This window comes from Homo sapiens, chromosome 4 (assembly GCF_000001405.40).
Source record: "Homo sapiens chromosome 4, GRCh38.p14 Primary Assembly".
In the NCBI taxonomy this organism is placed as follows: domain Eukaryota; kingdom Metazoa; phylum Chordata; class Mammalia; order Primates; family Hominidae; genus Homo; species Homo sapiens.
Genome location: NC_000004.12, coordinates 186,253,761 through 186,265,839, shown reverse-complemented (window position 1 = coordinate 186,265,839; position 12,079 = coordinate 186,253,761). Strand labels below are relative to the sequence as shown.

General features: G+C 43.2%; 1 protein-coding gene across 9 annotated transcripts in view, besides 1 other annotated feature; it reads right to left on the bottom strand.

The window, feature by feature from the left end:
* Positions 521-1,292: an enhancer, noted in NCBI's record as "H3K27ac-H3K4me1 hESC enhancer chr4:187185702-187186473 (GRCh37/hg19 assembly coordinates)". NCBI's record gives its function as "activates a minimal SCP1, AML or CMV promoter by ChIP-STARR-seq in primed H9 embryonic stem cells {active_cell/tissue: H9 hESC(primed)}" and the evidence as "EXISTENCE:reporter gene assay evidence [ECO:0000049][PMID:30033119]".
* Positions 7,369-12,079, bottom strand: part of KLKB1 (kallikrein B1) — a 47,619-nt gene continuing 42,908 nt past the window's right edge. For 6 of the 9 annotated variants that reach the window (XM_047415661.1, XM_017008181.2, XM_011531930.3 and 3 more), the window contains 4 exons: positions 11,077-11,252; positions 9,753-9,848; positions 8,475-8,614; positions 7,369-7,819 (listed from right to left, as the gene is read on the bottom strand). In XM_047415661.1, coding sequence (XP_047271617.1) covers positions 7,628-7,819; positions 8,475-8,614; positions 9,753-9,848; positions 11,077-11,252 — 604 coding nt within the window. In that variant the 3' untranslated portion in view covers positions 7,369-7,627. The remainder of the gene's footprint in view (positions 7,820-8,474; positions 8,615-9,752; positions 9,849-11,076; positions 11,253-12,079) is intronic. The other 3 variants (XM_017008182.2, NM_001440521.1, NM_001318394.2) reach the window with 1 other exon arrangement.

Genomic DNA, 12,079 nt, shown 5'->3' with positions numbered 1-12,079 from the left:
ATATAATGGAGGGAGGAGACTTTGGCTGCTGGGGGAGAGCGGACGGATGGGAAGCAAAGTACAGACAGCTCCTAAGAGCCTGGCTCTTGCCCAGTCAGTTTCCCTTCAGGTGACGCTGCCTCTCAGAGGCCTAAGCAGATAGGATTCCTCCTAAGGCCAAGCTTTTTTTTTTTTTATTCTTACTTGTGAACACTAAAAGTCTATTTTTTAAAACAGAAAAATAAGCTATTTCAGCTTGCTTGCTTCTTACTTTCTTTCTTTTCTTTCTTTCTTCTTTCTTTCTTTCTTTTCTTTCTTTCTTTCTTTCTCTCTTTCTTTCTTTCTTTTGAGACAGAGTCTCTCGTCGCACAGGCTGGAGTGCAATGACGCGATCTCAGCTCACTGCAACCTCCGCCTTCCAGGTTCAAGTGATTGTCCTGCCTCCGCCTCCGGAGTAGCTGGGACTACAGGCCCGCGCCACCACGCCCAGCTTATTTTTTTTTCTTTTTTCTTTTCTTTTTTTGTATTTTTAGTAGAGACAGGGTTTCACCATGCTGGTCAGACTGGTCTCAAACTCCTGATCTCCAGTGATCCGCCAGCCTCAGCCTCCCAAAATGCTGGGATGACAGGCATGAGCCACCACGCCCGGCTTCTTTTAGCTTTCTTTAGGTCCTGGGACACAGACCCGAATGGAGAGCTAGGAAGTGACATGTCTAGCAGCTGCATGACTGTCAACGAAAGCACAGCACGTCACATCCCTGAAGGAAAGGGTGGTTTTGTCCTGGAGGGAGTCTTCCCACTGGACAGTGGGAAGTGGGACACTGGACAGTGGTAGGACCTGGCGTTTATAGGCAGGAAAGTTTGTGAAAAAATTCTGGGGTGTTTCACATAATTATATTTCCATGAAGGCCTTCCCTTTGGCCTTGAAGAAGGTCTGAAAGCCTATGGAGGGCATGTTCATCCATGCCAACTGCTACCCAGACCTACTCACTGGCTGACGAGTCATGTGACTTGAGCGGAACCAGCCTGTGCACAGTCCCCAGCCACCTGCAGGTCCTTGGCTTCCGTTTCCTCATTTAGAACACAAGGCACTAACTAGTGCTGAGGGTTTCTGTGCGGTCCCCTAAAAAACCTCACAACACGAACACAAAACAGTTTTCAATATGCCTGATTTGAATACATTTTGGAGAAAGATACGTTTATGGTTCAGAGAAGGCTCTCAATTTTTCATAGAAAAGCAAAATACGATCTTGTGTTTATACATGGAATCATAATTTAAAAAACATATTTGGAAGACCGGGGAGAAATGACAGGGAATTAAGAGAATGTGAACTGAGAACAGATCTTTTTGTAAAGTGCTGAAGAACTAGGGTGATGTTCTATCTGGAAGGCATTTACTCAGATATTTTTATTTGATCTATTGCCAGTGCATTTGACTTATCCTGGCATAAAGAGTTCCTAGCTGTTTTCTTGAGTTTCCCGTTTAAAGTACATTCCAGCTACCCAAAAAGTGCATATTTATGATGCATTGCCTTTTATGAGGCTCAAACATAGAATGGCAAATTCGTGCCAAGAATGGCTTTCATGGAAAATGGATACGTGAGATTATATGAGGTCCTTATATCCTTGTATTGTTTACTCCATGGAACCTCATCTCTCTTCTTAAGCCCCAATAAAAAGAAGATAAGGATAACTCTCCAACCCTATTGAGAGAAACAGAAAGGCTCTAAATAAGAGAAATGCTTCACTGGAAAACCAAATAATATTTTCCTAAGTTTGATTTAGCTAGTTAGTGAAATCTTTAAGGTCTTTGAAATAGTATCAGGATTCAAAAAAATTTTGTCTATTCAAATAAAAGTAGAATAATTTTTTTTCAGACAAGGTCTCACTCCTGTCGCCCAGACGAGAGTACAGTGGTGTGATCTCCACTCAACGCAGCCACCAGGTGATCCTCCCACCTCAGCCTCCTGAATAGCTAGGAATACAGCCGCATGTCACTCCGCATGGCTAATTGTTGTATTTTTTGTAGAGACAGGGTTTTGCTGTGTTCCCCAAGCTGGTCTGGAATGCCTGGGCACAAGCGATCCACCTGCCTTGGCCTCCCAAGTGCTGGAATTACAGGCATGAGCCACCGTGCCCAGCCTAGAATAAAAGTCTTGACTACATAGAAACTCTTTGAGATTAAATAGACCTTTCTTTTAAACTGACCATAGATATCCTTAAAAAATTATTTTCAACTAATGCATTGCAGTTTAAAATTCTGATATCAACTACTTTTTTCAATTTTTTTTCAATGAAATGAAATGTTTTTGAATATTCGAAGACTGATGAAAATGAGGAATAACTAGACAAAGTCTTAGGAAGAATATAGAAGTTAGTCTGCAGAGACCCAAGTACAAGTCAGAAGTTAGGATTCTAAATCAAAAAGTATCTGAGACAGGTCCCAATCAATTTAGAAAGTTTATTTTGCCAAGGATAAGGATGTACCTATGACACAGCCTCATGAGGTCCTGATGACATGTGTCCAAGGTGGTCAGGGCCCAAGCTGATTTTGTACATTTTAGGGAGATATAAGACATCAATCAATCTATGCAAGATGTACATTGGTTTGGTCCTAAAAGGTGGGACAACTCGAAGAAGGGAAGGGGGCTTCCAGGTCATAGGTAGATAAGAGACAAACAGAAGCATTTTTTCGAGTTTCCAATTAGCCTTTCACCAAATACGCAATTTACAAGAATAGTCACTCATGCCTTAGTGTGGCCCAGTGAAACAATATGGCAAACGAGGCAATCAGATACGCACCTGTCTCATGTCAGCAGAGGGGTGACTCTGACTTCTGCCTGTCCTTTTTCCACAAGGAATTTCCTCATGGGCAAATTGTGAGGAATGTAGCTTTTTAAAACCTTTTTAAAGCTTAAAAAAGGTTTTTTATAGCTTAAGAAAGCTATTTTATTTAGGAATAGAATGGGAGGAAGGTTTGCCCAATGCAGTTCCCAGCTTTACTTTTCCATGTGGCTTAGTGATTTTGGGGGTCCCGAGGTTTGTTTTCTTTCCAATGGATCATAGGTGGGAGATGTATTGGACATTTGGACATATTGTGACCTAAAGCCTTCTGCTTGGGACAGGAATGTCCACAACGGCATTAGTTGACTGAGACCCCTTCTCAGGCATGGCCATAATCAACTCTCAGAGCTCCTTCTCTTGTCTTTCAGAACTTGCTTTGAAAATGGACACAATAAAAAAGAAGGAAATCATTCCATTTGCAGCAATGTGGATGGAACTGGAGGTCATTATGTTAAGTAAAGTAAGCCAAGCACAGAAAGACAAACATTGCATGATCCCACGAAAGATGATTTCATGGCCGTAGAGAGTATATGGTGGTTACGAGAGGCTGGGAAGGGTGTGTGTGGGGGGGTGGTGGTGAGGACGAAGAGAGGTTGGTGAAGGGGTACAACCACAGAGTTAGATAGAAGGAATGCTTTCTAATGTTTGACAGAAGAGTAGGGTGACTGCAGTCAACAACAAGGTATTATAGTTTTCTAAATAGCTAGAAAAGGACTTGAAATGTACTCAACACATAGAAATGGTTGGGTGATGGGTATGCCAACATCCTGACTTGATCATTACACATTCTATGCACATAACACAATTTCACATGTGCCCCACAAATATGTACAAATAGAATGTATCAAAAAGTAAAAAATAAAGGAAGAGAAAGGGCACAGCCCGCCATGTCCTACAACCCCTTTCTTGCTGTTCCTGAAATGTCCTCTTTTGTTTTTCTTTTTCTTTTTTTTTTTTTTTTTTTTTGAGACGGAGTCTCGCTCTGTCGCCCAGGCTGGAGTGCAGTGGTGTGATCTCGGCTCACTGCAAGCTCCACCTCCCGGGTTCACGCCATTCTCCTGCCTCAACCTCCCGAGTAGCTGGGACTGCAGGTGCCTGCCACCACGCCCGGCTAATTTTTTTTTTTTGTATTTTAAGTAGAGACGGGGTTTCACCGTGTTAGCCAGGATAGTCTCGATCTCCTGATCTCGCGATCCGCCCACCTCAGCCTCCCAAAGTGCTGGGATTCCAGGCGTGAGCCACCGCGCCCGGCCGAAATGTCCTCTTTTCATTACAAGGTTTTAATGCTGACATGAGATCAGGCTTTCCCAACCCTGGCATTATTGATATTGGGGCAGGATAACTCTCTCTTGCGAGGGGCTGTCCCACACACTGCAGGATGTTTAGCTGCATCCCTGGCCTCTACCCACTACAGCCAGTTGCATACCCTCTCCCATTAGGACAACCAAAAGTGTCTCTAGACGTTGCCGAATGTTTCCTGAGGTGAAGGGAGGACAAAATCGCTCCGGGCAGAGAAACACCAGTGTCAGTTGATAATGAAAATAACAAATGGTGGTTATAAATGCTCTGTCATCTTTCATCCTTCTCCTAGTGAGAAGCAACCGGATATCAGTGAGAGGACATTGCCTGGCATAGGAATGCTGAGCTTTGTTCCAGCTCTGTCCTTGCCAGTGACCTTGAGCTAATCATTTCACCTCTTCAGTCTCCATTGCCTTTATTTTTGTAATAAAGGTGTATCATCATCATTAGCCGTTTACTGGATGCCCATGATATGCACTATGAATGAGAGAGCCTCCCTAGAAGCTGCTCACAGTCAAGTAAAGTGACAGACATAAGCAACAATTGAAAGGAAAAGTTCCAAGTTTACGTGGGGGGTTCCCATGCCTTGGCAGGGACTGAGACAGATGTTGGAGCCCTTGGCTGACCTTGGAGCCAGGTGGCTTGTGCATGTGCTTGCATGCCACGTGTACACTGCCGCCACAGGAGGGCAAGGCCAGCTTGCAGGATTGACACTGCCAGCAGCCTTTGTGAAGTAGAACTGCCAGTGGCCCACGCCTCCTCCCGTCACGCTTCCTCATGGGAGTGAAGGCATCCCAGCCTCGCATTTTCCTAGCCCATGTCACACTTTTTAGTCCCACGAGGCTAGACCTGTGTGAAGGGCTCCTCAGTTACCCCTGTATATGAGCACACAGTGAGTCACCAAGACACCAGCCCAGTCCTACTGGGCTTTGATTGACCACTTTAAAATGACAATGTATGCCTCGGGAAAGTTCCATATTTCAAAACTCTCCTCTGTTTTGCCAAACTAGGTCATTCCCTGACTAACAGAGGCCAAAGGTTTACCCTGCAAGCATTCCAAAGTCCTGTTCCAACACCCCATGATCAATACTCAAAGACTGAGATAAAAGTTTCATTGCAAACCATTTTTTCCCTTTTAAACATAAAAAAACATCCACATGAACAAAGACTAATGTCTTCATCGCATGCAAAGGCAAAATTTAAATAGTGCATTTTTAAAATCGTTTCATGGAATCTAGCCAGATTTTACAAAAGCCATTCAATTCTGAAGTAAATGTTTAACTCTTCAGTTTCCTGCTATCTGGTTTGTGGATAGCCCAGACCTCATATTTTCCTTCACCCTCTCCACCTTTAGCTCCTCCTACCACCCGGTGTGTCTCTGAGCAGGGGTTCCCAACCCCCGGGGCCCAGAACAGTACCTGGTCCATGGCCTGTTAGCAGCCAGGCCGCACAGCAGGAGGTGAGTGGCAGGCCAGCAAGCATAACCGCCTGAGCTCTGCCTCCTGCCAGATCCGCAGCAGCATGAGACTCTCATAGGAGCTCAAACCCTGTTATGAACTGCACATGTGAGGGATCTAGGCTCCTTATGAGAATCTAATGCCTGATGATCTGTCACTGTCTCCCATCACCCTCAGATGGGACTGTCTAGTTGCAGGAAAACAAGCTCAGAGCTCCCACTGATTCTACATTATGGTGAGTTGCATAATTATTTCATTATATATTACAATGTAGTAATAATAGAAATAAAGTGCATAATAAATGTCATGCACTTGAATCATTCCAGAATCATCCCCCACCACCATGCTGGTCCATGGAAAAACTGTCTTCCACAAAACTGGTCCCTGGTGCCAAAAAGGTTGGGGACCTCTGTCTTGAGCATTGAAGGAAAAACCCAAACTCTTTCAGAAAACTTTTTTCTGTTTTTCTACTTAACTTACATAAGATTTTGTAAATCGCCAATTCTGTGTAAATGTTGTTCAGTTTAACTGAACTGAATCAAGCGAGCTGGTATCAGTTACGGTGAGCCTCGGCATGTGAGGAATTTGTGTGGCATAGGACATCTATCACCCATTCCAAAGGCTACCATAAATTTACAAGTCTGAATTTTATGAAATAATTTATACCTAACAGGGCTGGGTGTGGTGGCTCAAGCCTGTAATCCCAGCACTTTGGGAGGCCGAGGCGGGTGGATCACAAGGTCAGCAGATCGAGACCATTCTGGCTAACATGGTGAAACCCGTCTCTACTAAAAATACAAAAAATTAGCCAAGCACAGTGGCGGGTGCCTGTAGTCCCAGCTACTCCGGAGGCTGAGGCAGGAGAATGGCGTGAACCCGGGAGGCAGAGATTGCAGTGAGCCAAGATTGCACCACTGCACTCCAGCCTGGGCAACAGAGCAAGACTCCGTCTCAGTACTACTACTACTACTACTACTACTAATAATAATAATAATAATAATTTATACCTAACAATGCTTCCTTTTTTTGAGACAGTCTCACTCTGTTGCCCAGGCTGGAATGCAGTGATGCAGTGGTGCCATCTCAGCTCACTGCAGCCACGACATCCCCGGGCTCAAGCGGTCCTCCTGCCTCAGCTTCTGGGGGAGCTGGGATTACAGGTGCGCACCACCATGCCCAGCTAATTTTTGTGGAGATGGGGTTTCGTCACATTGGCCAGGCTAGTCTCGAACTCCTATGCTCAAGTGATCCACCTGCCTTGATCTCCTAAACTGTTGGAATTACAGGCGTGAGCCACCACGCCAGGCCTAAAAATGCTCCTTGAATTACTATTGCAATAGCCCATATCCACTGAGCCTCCAGGGCTAATGCCCCTTGCAAAGCAGATTCCTTGCCTGCCATGAAGGCTGTGCAATGCTGCAGCCCCTCGAGCTCCTCAGCACGCGCAGCCTGGACCCTCCTAGCCATGCCCTGGTAGCAAAGTTAGGAGGCCAAGAGGCAAAGGTGCCCATGGGTTCAGGTAACCCATCTCTTTCTTATAAAAGTGGGTGTTCTCCCTTCCTCTCGGCAGAACAAAACCCAAGCCCGCTAGCTCTTTGCCACACGTGAAGCAGGCAATAGTGGGTTTCAGTGGCCGACCAGGTGCAGCACGGAGAGGAAATTACATCTTTGAGATATACTGAGTTCCAGAGGAAGCAGTGCAATTAGAGGGATCCCAGGAACTGTGCTGGAACCTCAACCACTTACTTTCAGTTCTGTTTCACAACCAGAAGAAAACACTTGCTAATCGTGATCTTTCACCATTTTATTTCACAACACACAGTCATGGAGATCTCAGTTGCGACCTCGCATTGTCAGCCCCTGGTTACGGCGTGCTGAAAGCGGGCTTCAGCCAGACATTGTCCTCAGCAGCTCTGAGTGCACTGTGTTTTTCGTCCTTAGGATGCAAAGAAGATGCCACTCTCCATGCTTTGCAGATGAGGACCCCCCAGGCTCAGAATTTGACTTGAACTCAGGTTGTAAAAATTGCCTAGACTCTGGACTGCTTCTCATGCTGGTGACTGCATCTGAGCTTTTCCATCACTGCTCTGTGTTTTCTCTAAAATCCAGTCCATGTACTCAGCGACTTTGGTGTAGACACCAGGTTGCTCCCTGCGGGCACAGCCTTCACCCCAGCTGGTGATGCCCACCAAACGCCACATTCCATTGTGTTTGCAAACTAAGGGACCACCTGAATCTCCCTGAGTCACAGTGGAAAAATAAAATAGTAGAAAGTTACGACAATGGGATTCAAATAAGTGACTGCCTCTAAAGTTCTGTAGTCCACTACACAGCAACACACACACACAGATACTTTCATATTTTTTTGTAGAGATGGGTTTCATCACATTGCCCAGACTGGTCTCAAATTCCTAGGCTCAAGTGATCCACCTGCATTGGCCTCCCAAAGTGCTGTGTGTGTGCAAGACCTTGCTTGCCAGACACACACACACACACACACACACACACACACACACTCACTCTTTCTTAAAGTTCTCCAAGTATCTCATGTGCCTGCATTTTTCGTATCCCCTTTTCTATCTGAAATAAATCTAACAAAGAAATCTTGATATCATCATCCCAATGATGAAGTCTAATGTTTTTATATTCTAGCACAATTATTGCATGTATATTTGCCCCTCTTAAATAGCACATGCATAGATTGTGACATATATCATAAATAATATAAATATATATTATGTATATTCAATTTGTTAAAAGTTGCTTATCAATTTATCAGATCATTTGTCTCTGAATTTTTTTAAAAACTATGATTGAATTATGCTATTGGAAAATATATTTTGAAATGAATTTTCTCAAGCAGCCTATTGTGTTTTTCATAATCTCATGAGTTACCTTACAAGCATCTTTTCCCCCTTCTTTATAGCCAGCACAGACCATCCGTTGGGTTATTTTATAATCTTGATATCTTTTCTGGCATTCTTCATTTGTTACCAAAGGAATATTTACCTTTTGTAGAATATTTTGGATTTCACCTGTGAGTAACCAATATATAACCTCAGAGGGAAGTTAATAATAATAACTTAAATAATAAATAATAATATTGGGAATATTATTATTCCCACAATAAATAATAAATATGGAAATAAGTTTTAAAGTGAATCAGAGCAGTGTATTTTTCATAAGGACCTTATCTTTGAATACAAATAGACAGTAAAAATTGGGAAGGTAGTGTTACACACACACACACACACACACACAGAGAGAGAGAGACAGAGAGAGGAAGAGGGAGAGAGACGGCACCCTGTACTGTCCTCTTATTGCCTACGTGGTGTTGGGACAAGCCCAGCACCCTGGGCTGACCAGAGACCTTGCTTCCATGTTTTCTGCCATCCCCTCATCTCAGTAGCAGCCCCCCAGAAATCCCATTTTATATTTATCACCTACAACAATCCAAAGCCTGGAAGTTCTCACTTTTCATTTTTTTGCTTTATATATTCAAAATTATAATTTACAACTATATCGTTTCTGAAAAGCCCTCCGAGCTTTGGCAACAGAGGGGTCTTTTGTTTTTGAATAAATGCAGGCCAGCATCTCTCATGGAGAACAATGTTGGGAGCTTTCATGGCTTAGTGAAGATTACTTTAAATTTCTTCTTGTCTCAGATTACCAATAAAAAATCTAAAAATGTGAATTACTTGAACAAAAGACTGAATCGGGAAAGATGGAGACAGTTTGGCAAGCTACCTTCTTCTGTAAAGAATGACACAAATATTATTCTCCATAGTGAGACGACACACCTGCCTGTGCTCCCGGCCATTAGCATCAAGGGAGAACATGGTTTTGGGAGACGGGAACGCTACTAACACTGAGGAGCGGGTGGTCTTGCACGGGCTTGTCAGCCCTAGAAGGGCCCAATCTGCTTCATGCAAAGTCAAGCAACTGATCTTTATAATGAAGTAAGATGCTTAAAAGTCTCCCTAAAATTTTTTTTCAAGCCAAAGCAAAAATACATTTTTTAAGAATAACTGAATAAATATTTGGGAATAAATAGATAGGAAAGATAAAGAGTTTAGATATAATTTCAGACAGAAACCGATTAAAACGACCCACTCCATGTATTTCAACATGTGAGACTTACTCTAGAAGCAATATTTAAAGCGTCATGCTTACCTTTCTCCTTCGAGAAGCCCCATCCGGTTACCCAACAGTTGGTATAAATTGTGCTTGTGTCACCTTTGGAAGGTAGGCATATTGGTTTTTGGAATTCTGAAACATAATTTTTAAATTAGAGTTTGGTCAAATAAAGTTATGGATATAGACTTTAAAAATACATCTTTCTCTTTTTCTGTCTTCTCTTTCTATAGAGTAGCATCAAGAATAATTTTTTGCTTTCTGCCCAACCTCTAAGGCTAATGATTCAAGAAAATTTGTCACCACCATTTTTCACATGACATTTTTGGTGTTACAATTTCCTGAGTTAAATTCTTAAAACTCAGAACCTAAATCTATGGTCAAAAGCATTTAGAAGTTCCTGTGTCTTATTCCATGTATACTATCCTTAATAGTCATAGCAGGGTATCTTCACTGTTCCAGACATGAAGTGCTTTGATGTATTAATTATTACAACAGACCCAGGAAGAAATTATCATCCTCATTTTACAGATAAGGAAATTAAGAGGTGTAAAGAGGTAAAGCAACTTGCCCGAGGTCACATAATTGTTTGTGTGCAGTGGCACGATCTTGGCTCACTACAGCCTTGAGCTCCTGGGCTCAAGAGATCCTCTTGTCTCAGCCTCTTGACTAGCTGGGACTACAGGTGCACACCACCACACCCAGTTAATTGTTTTTTTCTAATTTTATGTAGAGACGGGGTCTCACTGTGTTGCCCAGGCTGGTCTCAAACTCCTGGCCTCAAGCAATCCTCCCACCTGGGCATCCCAAAGTGTTGGGATTACAGGTGTGAGCCACCATTCCTGACCATGAATGTTATTGGATACAGTGGGTATTCGGCTCCTGGCAGCAATGACCCTCCAAAGGCAACACCTCTGACCACGATGCTCTGGCCTTCCAGGGCTTCTTTCTGCATGAGTCTCTTTCCTACCCAAATTATACCTGGAAGTAGATATCTGATCCCACTTGCCCTCACACATTCGAATATCCCTAAGCCCAAAGCAATGACAGTTCTGCTACTCTTGTCAAAGCAAGCCCAGTGCCTCTCAGACGGCACAGACATTTCCCACGCCCATTATTTCCATCACCTGCATGCAGTTGTATCCCTCCCTGAAAGAATTAATTCACATGTCTTGCTCTTTAAGTAGAAGAGATTTCACGGCAAGTCGCGGGGTCTTCACTTCCCAGCAACCCTCACGTTTCCCTCAACTCCACCAGTCAGAAAACGACGACAGTCTCTCTAGGTCTGCCCTCTTGTTCAAACTGATATGAAAATATCAACCAGCGCAATTCTGCTCTCCACCTTCTTACATATGCTACATACCAGTGTAATTCAAAGGAGCCTGGAGTTTTATCAAGGCGATATCATGATTCCCTTCTGAGACTTTATAGTTTTGGTGAATAATAATCTCTTTTATTTGTGAGAAAGGTGTATCTTTTGTAATGTCTGACAGATTTAAAATGCCACTATAGATGCGCCAAACATCCTGCAGGGGAAGCCTAGGAGAGAAAAATAAATACCTGTTTGAAACTGGGCAGTCCTTCCTTCAATAGTGTTCCTTTTTCCTATCACTCTCTTTCAAAGAACTGGGAAGGAAATACATAGGACACATTTTCTCCTACCTAATTCCTCCTTCTGGTAATTTTTCATCACCAATAGCGGCAGTAGTGAATCTCTGAAGATTCTATTTAACAAATTGAAAAGTGTACATTTATGTAATTGCATCATGCTTACTGCAAGTGAAAACAAAAAGAATGTTGCTGTCCCATTTTTGAGAGACACTGTAGTGGGAAGAAACTAGCAGTTTATCATGGAAAAATTAAGCTCATTCACCAAAGCTGAACCTCATTGCTCCACTAAATTCAGAACTGTCAAGAAGTCAGGCTGATCTTCTAATGCTCTTCTAATTAGTCAAAGTAGGAGGACTTTAGTGTTGTTTAAAATATCTCTATACAGCTGGGCACAGTGGCCCACACCTGTAATCCCAGCACTTCGGGAGGCCGAGGTGGGTGGATCCCTTGAGGCCAGGAGTTCGAGACCAGCCTGACCAACATGATGAAACCTCGTCTCTACTAAAAATACAAAAATTAGCCAGGTGTGGCGCGCGCCTGTAATCCCAGCTACTCAGGAGGCTGAGGCAGGAGAATCGCTTGAACCCGGGAGGCAGAGGCTGCAGTGAACCAAGATTGTGCCACTGCACTCTACTCTGGGCAACAGAGAGAGACTCCATCTCAAAAAATAAATTAAATAAATATATAAATAAAATAAAATATATCTGTATTTTGGAAAGTATGAAAATGTAAATAGATTATTTAAAAGATGAATG